This window comes from Homo sapiens, chromosome 8, assembly GCF_000001405.40.
Source record: "Homo sapiens chromosome 8, GRCh38.p14 Primary Assembly".
In the NCBI taxonomy this organism is placed as follows: domain Eukaryota; kingdom Metazoa; phylum Chordata; class Mammalia; order Primates; family Hominidae; genus Homo; species Homo sapiens.
Window position 1 is genome coordinate 83677311 of NC_000008.11, and position 21632 is coordinate 83698942.

Consider the following 21632-nt stretch of genomic DNA (forward strand, 5'->3'; position numbering starts at 1 on the left):
ATACATAACCCTTCTGAAGGGGGACTTGCACACTTAATGTAAAACTAAAGTACTTATGACAATGATATTGGCACAGGAATAAACACACAGACTAATAAAACAAAGAAAAGTTAAAAAATATTTTGAATATATGAAAATTTAACATATTAAAACACTGATATGGGGTATTTATGAAGAAAGGAGGTACTAAGCAAATAGGAAAACTCGTTATCTGTAAAAAAATGAAAATAGATCTCGGTCTCACATTATATGTAGAATTAAAAACCAGAACATTTAATTATCTAATGGAAATATTTTAAATATTTAGAAGAAAATAAAGGCTTTGGTATGAGATTTCTTAAATGAGATATAAAAACAGCAGCAGCAACATAAACCATCAGTTTTAATAAAGGATTGTTAAATTTAACTACACTAAAATTAGGATTTCATGAAAAAATAATAAGCTAGACCTGGGAGAAAATACTTGTCATATGCATGTCTAATAAAGGATTGGTATATAAAGCATACAGACTATACATCCATAATGAAAAAGTATACAACCCTGTCGAAAATAGACAAAAGATGTGAAAAGCTTGTGCTAATGTTCAGCCCATACAGAACAGGGCAGGCTTAATGTCCTTCACATCTAGCTTATTTTCTGATTGCGCTAATATCTACTTACAATGATTGTTGCCTTTCCTGTACCAGTTGCTAAATGTTTAGAATATCACTCTATCAACAGGCATTCCACGGAATAGGAAATACACATGGCCAATAAACATATGACAAAACAAGCAATGGGGGAAACACAAATCATGGTCTTAATGAGGTCGTTCACAACCAATGGATTGGAAAATATGAGTTTTGACAATACTAAATGCTAAAGAGAATTCAAGTCAACGGATCTTTTATAAGCAGCTTGTGTGTGTTTCGATCCATAGACATTTGGAAAACAATTTGAGATTTTCTTTTCAAGTTGAATATTTCCACTACATCCCACAGCCCCATTCTTAGGAATATATCCAAGAGAAATGCTTGCCTGTGTGCAGCAGAAATAGAATCTTCCCTTTCTTTAATGTTTCTCCAACTTAGGGAGTCTTTGTCTCCATCCTGTCTTTGAACATACTTGTCTCTTCATGTCTACTAATCCCTTCAAGCCCAAGCCAATAATGCAAGTTTTGTGAAAATAACTTCTGCATTTATGCCTGTTACACAAAGGGAATACAGATACTTGGCTTATGGAAGTAAATCAGAATAAAAAATATAGACAGAAAGTAAAAAAAAAAAAAAAACACAGAAGTTAATATTTAAATAACTTGTCCTGGTCTATAATGATAATAGTACATCAGCCACTATTTACAGAGTGCCCACTGTATGCCGATGTTTTACAAACTTCTGCCATGATTAACTTAATTTTCCACAATATTTTCATAAAGTTTGGGCTATGATTATTATTTTTCATAAATTAGGAAACTAAGGCATACAAAAGTTAAATGGTCCAAATTCCTACAGCTTCAAAGCAGAGCCCAGATTCTAATCCAGATAATCTTTTTAGAAGGTTCAAATCTGAAAAACTACATTAAGCCCATCTCAATGTCTACTTGCATTCCTCCTTATCAGCACTGGTGACCCTGGTAATCATTATGCAAAACATGAAATAGACTCTGAACATCCTTAATTAGATCAAAGTTGGATAGCTTATCTCTGAGTCGATCAATGACAGTTCCTCAGGATCTTGGGATTTGGAATGAGCAGTGGGATATCAGAATAAAGAGCCTGAGATAGCAAAGGCAGAGAAACAGAGAGTTAGAGGCTTATGACAAAACAACATGCCAACGAGACCTATAGCTTATCAATACATTATAGTTACTAAAAATAGCATTATCTTTTGGTTGGGAATAGATAACATTAGGAGACTTAGATTTGATTTCTGATACACATGACATACCAGTTAATAATAAGCTAAATTAATGATCAGAATTTTATTAACAATATTTTTCATGGTGCTCTTCAGCTTTCAAAATGCTATTATTTCAGTTCATTTTAACTTGATTTAAAAAAGAAAATAAGTTCAACATTAATAGATGAGGAAACTGAGGGTGAGAGAATTGAGATAATTATCCAAAAACACTTTCATTACTTCTGAGTTCAATTCTAACTCCGCATCTTCAAATTACTGTTTTTAACAGTAAATATGTTCTTATTCTTATATCTTTCTAAAATTGTTTTTTCATCTATACAAGATTTATGGTGTTTATCCACACTCTTTTCTGCTCCCATCGAAATATCTTTACTCATGATTTAATCAGTATAAGTTTGGGTGATTGCATTTTCTTTCTTCACATTAACTGTAAAATAAATTTGTTTTCATGATTCAGTGTCTTAACAAATTAAAAGTACTTAATACAGAATATGATCCCAGGTAGCCCCTTACTGAGTTAATGTACAAGATAGGAAAGTCGAGCTTGATAGAGTTTACTCAGGAGGACCTCATTCAAGCAGGGCTCAGAGGCACAATTCACGCTGCACAGCATATTACAAATTCATTGCATCTCCACAGCGAGAAGGGGAGGATAAAAAACATTAAAAATTATTTTGTTTTTGTTGCTGAAGTTACATGAAAATGCAGTCAACAGTAAAATGTAAGATGTTAAAAGACAAAGAAAGATTATATTACAGTGTATACTGGTTAACTCTGTCATAGTTTAATTTGGAAAATGTCATATGTAAATATAGCTCTAAAGTTTCCATAGATTCAACTAAAACAGTGCTCTGCAGAAAACGAAATAGAACTCAAGATAAAGCCAAAATGAGTTAGATACAATTGTGTTCCATAACTTAATTAGTATTAAAATGAGTCAGTACCTAATTACATTAATTACATTAGTGCATTGACAGAAATTTCCAAGAGTTATACTGTGTTCAGAAAATAGATTTTATTTCAGGAGTTTGCAAATTTTATAATCACCATAAACATTTTAAATATTTCATGCAACATTTTATTTGAAACTGAAATTGTTTCATAAAAGTTCTGTGATTATCTGAAAGCAGTGCACTAAATTTTCTTTGATGTGTTTTAAATGTTTACAAGTCTTCTCATTTCTAGACACCACTACAGAAACATATTACTAATAATTTATCTTTATAGAATATTTTTAATATTTCCCCAGTTCTCTTAAAGAGTAATTTACATTATTGTGTTCTCCTTTTTTTATACTCTGTATGAACAGAAAGAAAAAGGATGTGATAAAAAAAATTCAGAGAAAACATTTTGCAAATAATCTTTCTATAAGTATTTTATAAAAAATAAAATTGCTGCTGATCTGAAATATAAAATATTACATTTCTAGTCTTATGTAGAAGGAACTCAAGCAACAATATCATTACTCTTTATGACACTGATAATAAGTCAAGTGAGTAAATAGTAACTATGTTGGCTCCTAGAGGATACTTGAGTAAAATATACATATAGGTAGCATATAATTTGTGAGAGGTTTTGGAATAGTCAATGCCCAAGATCAGAGAAGGAGAGCTAACAACAGAGGTAAAGGTTAGAGTACAGGGAGCCATGAACCAAGAAATGTGGGCAGCTGGAGAAGCCAATAAAATCAAAACAACAAATTCTTCCCCTTGATCCTCCAGAAGGAACATAGCTGAAGACCTGTTTTAGACATTTTACTATTAGATAATACATTTATGCTGTTTTAAGACATTGAGTTTGCAGTAATTTGTTATAACAGCAATAAGATACTAATCCATCAGCTGTTCAGTCATAACCTGAAATGAAAGTCATTGTACACTTCCTCATATTTCTCTCTGTATGCCTAGCACATAGAAATTGTGTGGTATAGGTTCTCAAAATTTCCTTTGCAAAATAAATGGAGTTTAAGCCTTTGATGATCAACTGAAAATTTTAAAGTAGATTATGAGTAGAGTAAAATATATTCTTAATAATTTTTTAAACTTTTATTTTAGGATCGGGGCACATGTGCATGTTTGTTATATAGGTAAACCCATGTCACAGGGGTTAGATTTACAGATTACTTCATCACCCAGGTACTAAACCTAGTACCTAACAGTTATTTTTTTCTGCTCGTCTCCACCCTCTCACTCTCTATTTGTGGTATTTGGTTTTCTGATGCTGTGTTAGTTTGCTAAGGATAATGGCCTCCAGCTCCATCCATATTGCTGCAAAGAACATGATCTAGTTCCTTTTTATGTCTGCATAGCATTCCATGGTGTATATGTACCACATTTCCTTTATTCAAGTCTGCCATTGATGAGCATTTCAGTTGACTCCATGTCTTTGCTATTGTGAGTAGTGCTGAGATGAACATACACATGCATACGTCTTTATGATAGAATGATGTATATTCCTTTGCATTTATACCCAGCAATGGGATTGGTAGTTCCGTTTTTAGCTCTTTGAGGAATCACCATACTATTATTCCCACATGTTAGTTCCCACATATTAGTTCCCACATACCTATTAGTTCCCACAATGGTTGAACTAATTTACACTCCCACCAACAGCGTAAATAAGCATTGTATTTTCTCTGCAACCTTGCCAGCATCTGTTAGTTTTTGACTTTTTAATAATAGCCATTCTGACTGGTGTGAGATGGTATCTCATTGTGGTTTTGATTTGCATTTCTCTAATAATTAGTGATACTGAGCTTTTTTCATATGCTTGTTGGTGGCATGTAGTTCTTCTTTTAAAAAGTGGGCAAAGGACATAAAATTTTTGCTAAATACAGCAGGCAAAATCATTACATTAGAAGGAATTCTAATAAGAATAATTTATTGATATAGTTTTAAAAGTAGAACTCAGATGTATATCCACCATAAAATTTCACTGATAGAGTGGTATTTAAGTATCTCAAAATGTCTTCTGAATTTGCTTCACTTTAAGAAATGTGTTGAACCAATTTGAATGTAATACAAAATTTTGTGCAGACTTTTGGACAGAAAGTAATGACCTAACCATATGCTTCAGTAATCTGAATGATGTGCCTTACAGACTCAGGAAAGGCATATGGATGATAGCACTTCATTCATCTCACTATGTAAAGTTAATGGATTCTGTATTCCATTTTACTAGAGTTTACAGGTTGTCTACATTAGTTTCTTCAGAAGAGTATATTATAAAGCTCCTTCTTGGTAACTTTGTCATCAAAATTAAAGACATTTAATTCAAAGTCTGGAACTTAAAATATCTTACCTATATATTAATTTATTTAATGTGAAAAGGCACAATGAGAGAATTTACCTGTTTATGAATGGTAAGTCAGGACACAAAATATCTGTTGTTAGACATAATATTCAAAACGTCAGAGGATTATCTTAATCGGTGTGGAAGTAGAAGGAAAAGATGGATGTATATACATAAATAATCACTAATTAGAACTCTGATAAAAAGGCATAGTATTTGGTAGCAATAGATTACCTTCCAAAGTGACTGTAATGGGTAAAATCATCATATTCTGAATCAGTGCATAGTTAGTAGGCACAAAGAAAAAAAAGTATGTTAAATTTAAAAAAGAGACTGACTGCAAAACAGAACATGATTGACCATATGTTCACAAGTCTTATGTTTTCAAGCTAACTGTGAAAGAGAATTATTCCCCTTCCTCTTGTTAAAAGTTTTACACTCTCCAATTCACCTGATGCCAAAGATTCTCAACACCATCTTCCTGCTAGTCAAATTGAAGGTAATCATCTTCACCCTCTACATGAAATCTAATTACGTTTCTCTTGATCTCATTGGTTAGCTTCAATTCTTAACCGTCATTAATCTTCTGATTTTTCATTTTCCTAATTTTATTGAACATCTTATGAATCAAGGAGGAATGGTGGTCAGTCACCTATTGCATAATGTGTAGCATGTATAAATGGACATGAAGTGATCAGCACCAATAACATAGCCAGGAAAACAGTGTACAGTATCAACCTCTGCTTCCCTTGGTAAAAGGGTCTGCAAGAGTAATATGACTGAACAATTCAACTTGGAGAAAAGTAAGGGTTGATATAAGGTTTATTAAGGTTTATACATATGCTGCCTGTATTTTGTAGAGATAGAATGGGGTTCCCAGTGAGATATTTTACAATTTTGCTAGATAGTGAGTATACTCCACAGCTGAGAACAAGTGACATTTAATACGTCACATTCTTGTTTCATATAATCCCTCGCTGTTTTTGCCAGCCAGCTCCCTGTGGTACTCCCTTATCCCTTTCTACCAGGCTTCCACCATGTAAGTAAATGACAAAGGCAAATAATTTCATGAAAAACTCTTTTTCATATAACATTTTTTCTAGACAAATTAGCTGCTAAGACGCATAAGACAAATATACCCACCATTTAAAAGTAATAATTTATTGGGAAGACAGAATCTATACAACAAATTATAACATAAGGGGAGGCATAAGCTAAGAGTACAAGAAGTACATAGACAAAACTGAAGATTTCTGAGGCTTTCAAGATCTAAGAAAAAAGTTTCTGGTAGCTAGGTTTATTAAAATTTTAAGAAAAACAGTTGTAGGTAAAGTTGCTTAATTCTGTTCAGATCAAACAATGGTAACTGCTTTAGTGTTTTTGAATGACATTAAATAATTCCCTGAATTTCAGCAACTTTTATACCCCTTGAAATGCTCACATGTCAATTACTCTATTACAGTACTAGGATATGAGTTCTTTGAGGACCACACTAGGTTTTTTTGACTTTCTATATAAAGAGCAAAGTACAGCATCTGTAATTTTACTATGTTATGAAACCATTCCCTTTATCAAAAGTTTAAATAATTGATTTTTGTAATAGCAAAACATTTTTTTAAATTTCTTTATGAGAAATATTTGTTAAAAAAAAAAGAGGCAAGTTAGTGTAGTTATCTCAGTCTTCTCAAACAGGAAATTCTAGTAGAGGAGTGTCATTGCAACTATACAGGACAAAGTATCTTCTTTTCTTTCAGACATAAGAAGTTGGAGACATTTATTGCAGAAATGTGTGATGAATCTTAATATTATGGGACCAAGAATCTTTAGGTAATATTCAAAAAACCTTACTTTATTGAAGACTGATAAGAATGAAGAGAAATCAAGATTTCAAGGAATCTTTAGAAATGTAGAATTATTCGTTTTTTATTTTTTGGTGACCCATTGTTCATTTCTTTCCTTGATTTGATCTCTAGCAATTAACCAGGAGAAATTAACCAGTGTAATCAAAAGATGAGTAATTCTTAGCCATTTTTTGAGTACTATGAGGATGGCTTGTGTAGAATTCTCCTGTACTTTAAGGGTATTTTGTTTTTCAATATTTATTTGAAAGTTAGCTATTCATCTGTAGTATGACATAAATACTTTCCTTCAAGAATTCATTCAATAGCAAACACATTTTGAGTACCAATTTAAAAAAAGGAGATCACCGAGAAAAAATGGTGAGAAATATAAACTTTAAAATAATGTAGGTGAGTACACTATATGTTTGCATATCCTTATTAGATACTAAGATATATTTGCTATAATTAGAATTTTACATATAATCTGAAAATACTTACTAAAATGCTAAAAGCAAGATAAATATTTTAAAAATATTATTTCTTTGAACTAATGAGGCTTAAATATTAAACAAATGGATTTTCTGGAAAATTTCTATACACACAAATTCTAAGTAAATGTTATTGCCTAGTCAACAAATTTGTGTTTGTGTACGTGTGTATGTGAATTGATAATAGAAACAAGGGTTCCTAGCAAGACCTTTGTATCAAGAATTTTCCTACATATTTATTATCTGAAATATCATATATATATTCGTGTATATATATATTATATAGAGAAAAACTTAATACTTCTTTAAAATCTTTACTTGAAATAGTTTTGAAATTAAGTATGTCAGTAAAATATCTAGTTCCAGTGACATTAATTTCATGATGAAAATTATGAAAGCTTGGTTTGTTGTCTTGTTAAATTTTAGACTGATTTAATGTTATCACCCTAAAACAATCATAGAATTCTTTTTATCCTGAGAGTTCCCAGTGATACAAAGAAAATATTAAAACATGTTTTCAACGTGGAAATTTATTGAGAAATTATACGCTGTTGAAAGCCATGTTAATAACGTCGACAGTAATATCAAAGCACAGTATGTTAATGCACTATTAAATTGATGATAAACTTAAGAGGAAATGGGCCTTTTATATATAAGAATATATCCTTCTTAAATATTAATACATTGTAAAAAGTAATTTACAAATGTAAAATGTAAATTGATAATGTCCCAAAGCACCCTAATGTAATGTTTCATAAAAAAAGTGTATTTCTAAGTTTGAAAATTATTATTTTAATGTATAGTAGTGTAATATACAACAAACAAGAAATTATATTAGAGTGCAAAAAGGCAGAAAATAGAAAGTGAAGTTGGGGAGAATAATCAGATGAAAATAAATAAAGAATAACAAAACAGAAAAAGTAATAAATTGCTTTGGTATGTTTAATTTTCAATTTAGATTTGGGACTATTTTTTTTTTACTTTTGAGGGGGAATATGTGTAGGAAATTGTCTTGGAAGAAAATGTACTATGTTTTTTCTTGGCTAATTTAAACTGAAAATAATGGTAGGATACAGTGAGAAAACTAACAAACACACGTTTAGAATACTTATTCAATTATAAAAAAATTATATGATCCTTACAGAATGAAATTAATTCTTCATCAGAAGGAATGAGAACAATAATAAAATCTAGAAACTTAAGCATAACTATTTCAAACTGGCCAACTTTCTTTCAAAAATCTAATTAATAGTAACTCATCCGGACTTCTGAAAATATATGTTTAACAATGAAATCTGAAATTAGCCATGCGTCATGGCGGGCACCTGTAGTCCCAGCTACTCGGGAGGCTGAGGCAGGAGAATGGCGTGAACCCGGGAGGCGGAGCTTGCAGTGAGCTGAGATTGCACCACTGCACTCCAGCCCCGGGGACAGAGCAAGACTCTGTCTCCAAAAAACAAACAAACAAAAAAAATGAAATCTGATCACTGTGAAGTCAAAGTTATCTTTTTCATTACACTTACGTCCTATGTAAGTTTGAAAATTACTGATAATTTTCAAATGCATGCATTTGAAATGTGTAGCACACACAAAAGTGATGTAGCAATACCAGTACTCACCTTGTGACTTAAGCAGGCAGCATTCATTGTTTTTCCCACTGTCCGTGATATTTGTACACCAATTCTGTACTCAGGGTACAATCAACACACAAGAAAAAATTAGAAAAACAAAACTGCAATAAGAACATTGAAGCTGGAAGGAAAGCACATCACTAACAACTGGCAAATGTTAGATTTCGTTGTCTTGGTACTCTGTTTTGGTGTTGTGAGTAGAAAAGTCTATGAATTATTTTAATAATCTAACCAACTATTAACTACTAATGCCTAACTTCTCAGATGAGATATTTGCCTTTGGAACTTCTTGTCACCTCTTTACAGTATGGCTTGTTTGAGTTGTGGAAGCCAAAGAAACTCCATCTTGGATGTTAATCTGCCATGTTGGCTTCTGATTAACTCTAGTTCCAGGAAGGCCTCTTAGACTTCCCATTTGTCTATTGTTCCTTGTGTAAGGGCAGGTACTTAGTGCACTTGGGTTCAATTAATCCTGCACTTAGGTCAAACAATCTTGATGTTATCATACTTCAATTGTCCTACACATTCTTTCTGAGCCAGCCCTTCCTTACGCTACCTAAACCCAGGGCCAGGGCATAACGGGGCCGAGATCCACCATCTTGTCTTGCCACCACCCAAGACACAGCCAGGCCTTCTGTTCTTAAGTCCCTATTAGATGTTTTTTCCTGAGAAACTGGATTTGTCGGCCCCTTTGGCCTCTTTCTCGGCTTCTTTGGACTTAAAGGTAGGTTTGCGTAGACCTGCCCACCATGAAGCAGAGTCAAAATAGGAATGTCAATATCTACCTAATCCAGCTTTCTATGTCTAACAAATATTGAAAGCTCCATAATAAATTGCCTTTCCTTAATCTTTCTGTGCCAGCTGAAGTAGTTTATGCTACCTCTTTTCGTCTCAAATACATATTTTACATTTCATAGAGGCATGTCTGTTTCCTAACTAGGATGTTCTGGCTCTGGATGGACAAACATTAAATACTTTAAATAATATGTTTTCTGCCTAGCCCTGTATTTCTATATTCATATAGGAGGATGTTTGGTTCACTTTGTCTCAACATCTGGTAATATTTTCTTACATCATGTTTTGTACTTTTATTTTTACACCAGGAATGCATTATGTGCACATAATTTACACACGTGAGCCTAAAATTCATCAGATGCTTGTAAACATTTCTCAGTGGTGTTATGAGATAACGACATTGACAAATCTACCATTATAGTGGCAGTTTCCAGAAAAATTCAAGTTAGCCACAGGAATCTGTCAAGTAAGATTTCTATTACTTCTTCCAGGTTGTTGTTCCTGTTTTATTTGCTATGCTATTCTACATAAAGATAGTTTGGTCAAATTTTTATAAACTTTCTTAAGTTTAACATTTTTAATATATTGAATGAATGGAAATAAATATATATTTGATTTCTTGAAAATATGGAAACCTTCTATCAATTAGGATAACCAGAAGCTGAGAACAGTCAGATCCATGAATATGATTGAAATGTGTAAATAAGAAATCATATACTTAAAAGTACTCAAGGATTTTAGTGTTATTTCACATATATTTAATAAAAGTGACGCCTTATTCAAATATTCTTTGATTAGTACTGAAAACTAACTGAAGTTTTGTTCATATGACTTATATCACCAAAATTAGCATGTTAACCTCAGAAAGAAATGAGATGTTATGTTTGGTTTGGTGTATACAATTCGCATTCACTAAAATGAGATGTTGTTAGTAGATAATACAAAATCATTGTTTGCCAGAGGGCTAAGTTTATTTCTTCCAAAACAAGGCACACCCCACCTTCAGAATTTGCTTAAGAGCCCTTTCTGTAATAATCCTTCCTGGCTCCTGGTATTCCAATTCTGACTCCAAAATTCTCTTATTTTAGCTTCCTTTTGGCTGAATATACTGATACTTTTATTATCTATTCAAAAGTTCCTGGTTTTGTGTTAGTCTACATTTTAAAAAAGCTACTTTGCTCTGTCTCACTCATAAATTGGCATGCTCCTGGAAGAATATTTCTCTGCCCACAGATGAGGGTACTGATATTAAGGAAGTTGAGTGGTGGTCCCAGATGCTATCAGAGTCTGAGGATCAAGAGGCCAGTAAACAAGCATATTGTAAAAATGTCTATATAAAGAACACTTTTAATCTTCGATTCATATATTTTATTGGTACATACTAAGGTTATCTCTTCCCCATCTTCTGGCAGGAAATCGCTGGCTCAAAGGTAGTAGGTGTGAGGTGTGGGAATGAAAAGAAGCTAGTCCTAAGACAGGAAAACTGAAAGTTAAGTAAAAGGCTCTTTTCTCAACTGTGAAACTGCAGGTACTCACTGCTGAGCTCCAGATATAAACATCCGGTCTGCTAATCTACAGGCAACAGGCAGGATGATCCTCCATGAAGTAAATGAGAATCCCAGAATTAAAGCCTAAGCATTCTGATATGGGAGGTTCTCTAGTGAAAAATCTTAAAGCTACCTGTTCATCCTATACAAGCTTACCAGGGGCAAGCTCCATCCATGCACAGATTGCTTTCCACTGCCTCACCTGTGAACATGAGTGAACGAAGATTTCCATATTCATAAGGGAAGCTTGCAACGCAAGGTGTAGAAACCCTAACATTTTTACAAAAGGAATGTTAAATGATAGAGATAGACATGCACTATTTCACTAACAGGTTTCAAAAAGAGCAAACAAAAAATTTTCATAGGGAAGGATATTACCTTATTAACTTTTTTTTCCTAAAGTGAAAGGTTATAAGGTTTTGAGGAGAAACAGTATAGCAGAAATAAACAATTTTCATTTTGTTAAATTTTAGAACATGAAGATGAAATAATATTTTAAAATTTTCTAAAGCAGAAAAAATTTACTGAAATTTGAGAATTAAAAGAACATCTGAGATCACAGTAACAGCACTGGAAGACAAGAAATAGGAAAAAAATGCCTTGTAAGATAAAATAGCTTACTTTTAAGGTAAAATAGCTCCTGAACTAGACTTCTAATCCAGGAAACTGGCATTCAAGTATAAGGGTAGAAGAGATATATTCTAGACATGAAAAGTTCAAAAAATAAATGTAGCTCTCATTACTCCTCTCTCAGAAAACTTCTGGGTATGTATTTCAACAAAACAAATAAATAAATGAAGAAAAGTTTAATCAGATATTGGAAAAAGACGATACTCAACACCTGAAAGAAGTGAAGGTAATTCCAAGGATGACAACTAGATAACAAATCTACAGAGCAATCTGAGAGGGCTCCAAAATTCCAGGAAAGCCTGGGGAAAAAAGAAATGTCAACAAATAGGTTATTTGACGAATATGGTCTTATGAAGAAGTATACTACCCAAGCATTTTACAGTATGTATAAATTGTGAGATGGCTATGTCAAAGATTCCAAAAAAGCATGTTTTTAAAAAACTAGTCAATTATTGCCCCAGGGAAAAACAAAATATATTTAAAAAATAGAGTGGACCAATGGTATGTAACCTAGAGTATCAGTTGGTAATATCTTATAATAAAAGCCAGAAAAAAGTCAAAACACTGACTTTACCAAAAATAGAAGAGAACTATGTATCCAAAATGTATGGCAAAGTATGCATCCAAAATGGTTAAATATCCAGAATCTATAAGGAACTTAGGCAATTCAACAATTAAAAAAAAACCCAAAACATTAAGAAGTAGGCAAAAGACACGAACATTTTTTTAAAGACATACAGGCAGCCAAGAAACATATAAAAGATGTTCACTATCCCTAATCATTAGAAAGATGCAAATCAAAATCACAATGGGATACCATCTCACACCAGTCATAATGGCTATTAGTAAAAAGTCAAAAAATAATAGATGGTGGTGAAGCTGCGGAGAAAAGGGGACACTTATACACTGTTAATGGAAATGTGAATCAGTTCAGCCACTGTGGAAAGCAGTTTGGAGATTTCTCAAAGAACTTAAAATAGAAAAACCATTTGACCCAGCAATCTCACTACTGGGTATATATCCAAAGGAAAATAAATCATTTTACAAAAAAGACACACGCACTCCTGTGTTCATTGCAGCACTATTCACAGTAGAAGACATGGAATCAACCTAGATGATCATCAACAGTGAACTACATAAAGAAAATGTAGTACATGTACACCATGGAATACTATACAGCCATAAAATAGAATCATATCATATCCTTTGCAGCAACATAGATGCAACTGGAGGCCATTATCCTAAGCAAACTAACACAAGAACAGAAAACCAACTACTACATGTTCTCACTTATAAGTGGGAGCTAAACATGGAGGGAAACATTAGAGACTGGGGCCTAGTTGAGGGTGAAGGGTGAGAGGAAAGTGAGGGTCAAAAAGTTACCTATCAGGTCCTATGCTCACTACCTGGGTGAAATTCTCTTTATTTGTTTACTAAACTCCTGCAACATGCAATTTACTCATGTAACAAACCTGCCCGTGGACCCTGTAAATCTTGAAATAAAAGTTGGAAAGAAAACAAAAAACACAGTGTTATTTATTCAAATTTGTAGTATAGCAATTTGGGGAATAGGGGCTGAGTGTAGTGGTGGTTGGATAGTGCTGAGATGATATCTAAAATACTGAGACAAGAGATAGAAAAATGCTAATATTAGAAATATGAAATAAAACACACTGGATATCTCTAGAAGACATTCAAGTAGTTTGCTCCGAACAGAAAAAAATTGGTAAAACTATGTGGTGTACTGCTGACCAGGAATTGTTGGGTTTGTGAAAGGAAATTCCTGGTGAGCTGTTAAAACTTCACCACGGCAACGCTAATTGATAGCTTATCTTTACAGGTGCAGTTACCCCCGCCTGCCAGACAAATGCATATCAGATTGTGCCCCTACCCCATTTTGTATGTATTATATTACGTAAAATGCAGATTCTGGCTGGGCGCAGTGGCTCACGTCGGTAATCCCAGTACTTTGGGAGGCTGAGGTGGACAGATCACGAGGTCACGAGATCGAGACCTGCCTGACCAACATGGTGAAACCCTATCTCTACTAAAAATACAAAAATTAGCTGGGCGTGGTGGCGAGTGCCTGTAATCACAGCTACTCAGGAGGCTGAGGCAGGAGAATTGCTTGAACCCGGGAAGCGGAGGTTGCAGTGAGCCGAGATCACGCCCCTGCACTCCAGCCTGGTGACTGAGAATCCGTCTCAAAAAAAAAAATAAAGCAGATTCCCCACATTTTTCATTTGCTCCTTTTGTTTAAGTAAAAACTGTGTGCTTGTCAATATCCTGCCCTTTCCCCTTTACATTTGGAGCGCTCAAAATCATCTTCAGAGAAAGGCATAGACCTGTCTCCCAGGCACATCCTTAACTTTGGCAAGTAAGTCTCCAAAAATAATTAAGACTTGTCTCATCATTTTCTTCAATTGACAGGTTTATATTTTTACAAGCTGTTAACACATTTTTCACACTATGTATGTATAGTAAATAGGTAAAATAATATTTTAAGTTAACAGCAAAATACTGACCAATTATTTTTAAAATAATCTTTTAAATTTAAGTTAACCAAAACAGCCTATAGTAACAGCTCACAGAAATATCATATTTGCTCTCCTCTTCCTTCCTACTAAAATACAAATAAAATCAGAGAAAAATCAGCAATGCACTGACAAAAGCCTTGGAAATCAAGGGTCCATAATTCATTAATATTTGAAATGAATAACTTACACATGAGAGGAACCAAATTTAAGTATCTCTAGTGGTACACACACACATAGATCATAGAAACACAAGAGGGAAAGAAAATCACTTAAGATGTTCAAAAATAACCCCAATGTTAGAGTCAGTGTCTATGTGTGCAAACCAAGCTTTTCTTTACACTTATCAGTACACAAGGTAAATATCCAGTATTATGTACAGGATTGTATAAGGAATGTCAAGGGCAGTAGAGATAAAAAGAAATCTTGAAAGAGTACATACACTACAAGGATTACTGGGGATTAAGTTTTTAAATAAATGTTTCAGGGCAAAAGGAAAGTTCTGAATATTCCCAAAGTACTTAGAAGTTTACCTTTCATACACAGAAAATTAACAGTGGATTCTCTATTTCAGTTTATCAGAGCCATAGAAAATTATCACTTAGAATTTTGACTAAGGTGTGCACATATTCTTGTATTTCATCTTAATATCTGAAAGCATATGTTGAAAATAGCTGTAGGTAAAGCATGAGTTATTTGAGGGGGGTGTGCAAAGAAGATGAATAAAAATAATAGGAAAGGCACAAATTCGGACTCTATTAGACTCTATTCATTTTAGATAGGAATACTGACAGGAATAAGCAACAATGACAAACATATACAAGCTTGTACATATGAAAAGATTTTGAAGTGTATGAGAACGATTACTCCTAGGATGCATAGAAAATGAATTTCAGCAAAAAAATACACCACAGTAGAACTTTACAGTGGATCTATTTATGTTGTCATTCATTCATACAACAAATCTTGCGAGTATGTATTGTGTTTTTGGCATGATTCCCAGAGAGGAAACTATAGTAGTGACCAAAATAGACAAAAGTATCCATGCCTTCATGGAACACGCTTTCAAGTGTTTTAGATGGACAATAATCAAGATATATAAGAAAAGTGTATAGTACATTAAACAGTGATAAATGCTAAGGAGATTATAGAAACAGAATAGAAAAACATGAAATGCCATACCTTGGCAGTTTGGGGATTTTAGGTCGGGTTACCAGGAAAGACTCCACTGAGCTGCTGACTTCTAGGTAGATGCCCTGTCCGGAATTGGTGGGTTCTTGGTCTCACTGACTAAAAGAATGAAGCCGCAGACTCTCGCAGTGAGTGTTACAGTTCCTAAAAGCAGGATGTCCAGAGTTTGTTCCTTCTGATGTTCCAATGTGTTCGCAGTTTCTTCCTTCTGGTGGGTTCGTGGTCTCGCTGGCTCATAAGTGTTACAGCTCATAAACTCAGTGTGGACCCAAAGAGTGAGCAACAGCAAGATTTATCACAAAGAACAAAAGAACAAACCTTCCACATTGAAGAAGAGGATGGCAGAGGGTTGCTAGTGCTGGCTCAGGCAGCCTGCTTTTATTCTCTTATCTGGCCCCACCCACATCCTGCTAATTGGTCCATTTTACAGAAAGGCGATTGGTCTGTTTTACAGAGAGCTGATTGGTCCGTTTTGACAGGGTGCTGATTGGTGTGTTTACAATCCCTGAGCTAGACACAAAAGTACACCACTTCCCCACTAGATTAGCTAGATACAGAGTGTGGACACAAAGGTTCTCCAAGTCCCCACCAGAATAGCTAGATACAGAGTGTCAATTGGTGCATTCACAAACTCTGAGCTAGACACAGGGTGCTGATTGGTGTGTTTACAAACCTTGAGCTAGATACAGAGTGCGGATTGGTGTATTTACAATCCCTTAGCTAGACATAAAGGTTCTCCAAGTCCCCACCAGACTCAGGAGCCCAGTTGGCTTCACCCAGTGGATCCCATACTGGGGCCACAGGTGGAGCTGCCTGCCAGTCCTGCGCTGTGCGCCGGCACTACTCAGCCCTTGGGTGGTCAATGGGACTGGGTGCCGTGGAGCAGGGGGTGGTGCTTGTTGGGGAGGCTCAGGCCGCGTGGGAGCCCACGGCAGCGGGGGGAGACACAGGCATAGCATGCTGCAGGTCCCAAGCCCTGCCCCGCCGGGAGGCAGGTAAGGCCCGGCGAGATGTTGAGCACAGCAGCTGCTGGCCCAGGTGCTAAGCCCCTCACTGCCTGGGGCTGGCGGTCGGCGGGCAGGCCTCTCCAAGTGCCGGGCCGCCGATCCCAAGCCCACCCGGAACTCGTGCTGGCCTGCAAGCACCACGCGCAGCCCTAGTTCCCACTGGCGCCTCTCCCTCCACACCTCCCTGCAAGCTGAGGGAGCCGGCTTCGGCCTTGGCCAGCCTGGAAAGGGACTCCCACAGCGCAGTGGCGGGCTGAAGGGCTCCTCAAGCGCAGCCAGAGTGGGTGCCAAGGCCAAGGAGGCGCCGAGAGCGAGCGAGGGCTGTGAGGGCTGCCAGCACGCTGTCACCTCTCAATGCCACTCTTGTAGATGTCTAAAAGTGAAACTTTCCAGGTTGAGAAAATAGTAAGTGCAAAGGTCTTGCGGAAGGAAGTGGTGACTGGCCTGTTTCAGGCACAGCAAGGAGACCAGGGTGATGGGGCAGGTGCAGAGGGAGAGGGCAGCAGATGAAGGGAATCACAGAGGTGGCTGGGAGGCAGATCACACAAAGCTTTGCGAGTCATGAAAAATACTTGGTCTTTATTTTCCATAAGGTAATAACCTTTAGGAGGGCTTACTGAGATTTCTATTTTAATGGGATTATTCTATCATCTGTGTTGAGACTAGACTTTACTGAGGCAAAGTAAGTAACAAGGAAGCAAATTTTGATACTGTTGTGATATATTCCAGATGAAAGAACTCTGGGCCAAAGTCCTGGTAGTGGAGTGGTGAAACGTCGGGATATATTTTGAAGATTGAGGCAAAAATAAAATTGTTGATGGAATGAATATGAGGTAATGGATAAACTAAAAAAAAAATCAAAGAGTGTGCCCTGGACAACTAGAAGACTGGAACTGCCGTTTACTGACTAGTAAAGGATTTTGACAGGAGCTGGTTCAGAGGAATATCAGTATCAGTATCTAAGATTTAGGTGCTTTAATTTCAAGATGCCAGTTAGATGAAGATCCAAGAAGACCTGTCAATAGACATTAAATATATAAATCTGGAACTTGGGGAAGGGATCTAGTGCTGGCTGTTGAGTGAATGAAAATAGTAAAATGTATGAGTGCTGTAAGTAAAATATATGAGTTATGTGAACTATATAATAATATATATATAGAGAAAAATTCCTGACTAATATATACACCAAAATAGTGAGAGTTACAAGAAGTTAATAAATTATGCAGACAACCTGTTTTTTTTTTTTTTTGAGACGGAGTCTCACTCTGTCACCCATGCTGGAGTGCAGTAGTGTGACCTCAGCTCACTGCAATCTCCACCTCTCAGGTACAAGTGATTCTCCTGCCTCAGCCTCCGGAGTAGCTGGGACTACAGGCACACACCACCACGTCCAGCTAATTTTTTGTATTTTTAGTAGAGACGGGGTTTCGCCATGTTCATCAGGCTGCTCTCAAACTCCTGACCTCAGATAATCTGCTGGGATTACAGGCTTGAGCCACCGCGCCTGGCCCAACCTGATTTTTTTTTTTTTTTTTTTTTTTTTTTTTTTTTTTTTTTTTTTTTTTTTTAGTCAGGGCTGGAGTGCAGTGGCTCACTGCAGCCTCAACCTCCTAAGGTCAAGCAATCATCTCACCTCAGCTTCCCTAGTAGCTGGGATAACAGGTGTGAGCCAACATGCCTGGCTAATTTTTTTTTTTAATGGGGTCTCACTATGTTGCACATGCTGGTCTCCAACTCCTGGCCTCAAATGATCCTCCTGCCTCAGCCTACCAAAGTGCTGGGATTACGGGCATGAGCCACCATGCCTGGCCCACCTGATATTTTTAAGTGGTTAACAATTTCTTTTTTAGTTTTTATTTCAGATTCAGGAGTACAGGTGCAGGTTTGTCATATAGGTAAATTGTTTGTTACAGAGGTTGGTGTACAGATTATTTCATCATGCAGGTCACAAGCATAATACCCAAAAGGTAGTTTTTGAATCCTCTCCCGCTTTCTACCCACCAACCTCGAGTAGACCCTGGTGTCTGTTGTCTCTCTCTTTGTGTCCATGTGTTCTCATCATTTATCTCCCACTTGTAAGTTATGAAGTGCAGTATTTGGTTTTCTTTACCTATGTTACTTTGCTTAGGATAATGGCATCCAGCTACATTCATGTTGCTGCAGAGAACATCATCTCATTCTTTTTTATTGCTGCTTAGTATTGTGTGGTGTATATGTACCACATTTTCTTTATCCAGTCTACCATTGATGGGCATTTGCTATTGTGAATAGTGCTAAGATGAACAAACACATGCATATTTTTTATGGTAAGATGGTTTATATTCCTTTGATTACATATTCCATAATTAGATTGTTTATCAAATGGTAATTCTGTTTCAAGTTCTTTGAGGAATCACCACACTGCTTTATACAATGGCTGAACTCATTGGCATTTCCACCAGCAGAGTATAAGCATTCTCTTTTCTCTGCAACCTCACCAACATTGGTTATTTTTGACTTTTTAATAATAGCCATTCTGACTGGTGTGAGATGGTATCTCACTGTGGGTTTGATTTTCATTTCTCTAGTGATCAGTGACATTGGGCTTTTTTTCATATGCTTTTTGGCTACATGTATGTATTCTTTTGAAAAGTGTCTGCTCGTGTTGTTTGCCCACTTTTTAATGGGTTGTTTTTGCTCCTTAATTTATTTAAGTTCTTTATAGATGCTGGGTATTAGACCTTTGACAGATGCATAGTTTACAAATATTTTCTCACAATCTGTAGGCTGTTTATTTACACTGTTGAGAGTTTCTTTTCCTCTATAAAAACTCTTTAGTTTAATTAGGTCCCACTTGTCTGTTTTTGTTTTTGTTGCAATTGCTTTTGTCACCTTCATTATGAAATTTTTTGCCAGATCCTATATCCAGATTGGTATTTCCTAGGTTATCTTTCAGGGTTTTTATGGTTTTAGGTTTTACACTTTAATGCTTCTTGAGTTGACTATTGAATATGGAGAAAGGAAGGGGTCCAGTTTCAATCTTCTGCATATGGCTCGCCAGTTATCTCAGTATCATTTATTGAATAGACATTCCTTTTTTCATTGCTTATTATTGTTGACTCTGTTGAAGATCAGATGATTGCAGGAGTGCGACATTATTTCTGGGCTCTTTATTTTCTTTCATTGGTCATTGTGTCTGTTTTTTTACCAGTATTATGTTGTTTTAGTTACAGTAGCTTTCTGGTATAGTTTGAAGTTGGGTAATGTGATGCCTCCAGCTTCGTTCTCTTGCTTAGGATTCCTTGGTTATTTGGGCTCTGTTTTGGTTCCATATGAATTTTACAATCATTTTTTTCTAATTCTGTGAAGAATATCATAGTTTAATAGGAATAACGTTGAATTTGTAAATTGCCTTTAGCGGTATCACCTAAATGGTTAATATTTTCAATGAGTACTTTACAAAAAAAGGATATTCAAAACATCAAACAAGAAATGTAGACAACATCAATAGTTATCAAAGACATTAAAACTGCAATGTTATAGCAATAACGATCCACTAAAATAGCTGAAATTTAAAAAGCTGACAATACCAAGCACGGTGAGAATGTGAAGCAACTGAAAACATCATACACTGATAATGGGAATGTAAAATGATGCATCACACACAGCCATTCTAGAAAACTATTTGTTATTATGCAACAGATTGAATATTTAATAGCCAAGTAATTTCCCTTTCAAGTATATACCCAACTGAACTGAGTACATGTGTGGACAAAAAGCATACACAAGAATATTTATAGCAGCATTGTTTTTAATAGTCTAAAACTATAAAGAAGCCAATTGTTCATTTATAGTAAAATAGATAAATAATGGATGTGATGTGCGTAAGATGGAATACCATATAACTGAATATCTTCAAGCTATTACCAGATATAATAAATAACACTGGTCAATCTCACAAATATAATTCTGTGTGAAATAATTCAGACACAAATGAAAATATAGTGTATGATTCCATTTACATGAAAACTAAAAACTTGAAAAATTAATATATAGCATTAGAAATCAAGAGAGGGTTTACCTCTGGGGACAAGGAAGAGGTAGCTATTAGGATAAGCCATGAAGGAGGCTGCTAGGGTGCTGAATAATGGTCTATTGTTTGGCCATTGTCGTATGGTATGTTCATTGTGTGAGAATTTGTTGACTGTACTTGTAGGTACGTGCTTCTTTCTCTATGTATATTATACTTCTATAAAAATGTTTATTTTAAAACATGTCAGAGGCACTTGAAAAAAATACAGACTAGATAGAAAAATGTGATTCCTGAGACTGGAAACTGAAAATTTAAACAGCTGACTATTCCCACTTAAAGAGAGAAACTTAGAACCAGAGAACAGATAAGAAGATGTGTGGTACAGTCAGACAAACAGATGCAAAAAGTCAGTTTGGTAAAAAACAAAACTGTAAAAAGAGGAAATCTGCTTATCTTTATGGATCACAGAGGGAGAAAACAGAGATTGGAAGAGAAAAATATTCCAAGAAACAACAGTTGAGAGTTTTCCAAAATGGATGAAAATACAATGCTCAGATTCAGACAGCACAACAAATCTCATGCATTATAAATAAAAAGAAATCCTTATCTGCAGACATCATAGTCAAATTGCAGAACATCAGAAATAGAGACAATCTTTAAAGGCATGCAGAAAAGAGAGACAAATTGCTCACAGAGTAGGGACATCAAATTGAGAGTAACAACAAACATCAGAACAGAGTTAAATAATATCTTTAAAAGAGGAGC

At 35.3% G+C, this 21632-nt stretch overlaps 1 long non-coding RNA gene across 1 annotated transcript; it reads right to left on the reverse strand.

Moving 5' to 3' along the window:
- Positions 1-794: 794 nt before the first annotated feature.
- LOC105375932 (uncharacterized) lies at positions 795-15975 on the reverse strand. The gene is made up of 3 exons (XR_001745724.1): positions 15840-15975; positions 9140-9203; positions 795-1755 (listed from the first exon to the last, which is right to left on the reverse strand). It is a non-coding gene; the product is annotated as an uncharacterized LOC105375932 (long non-coding RNA).
- Between the last annotated feature and the right edge of the window lie 5657 nt (positions 15976-21632).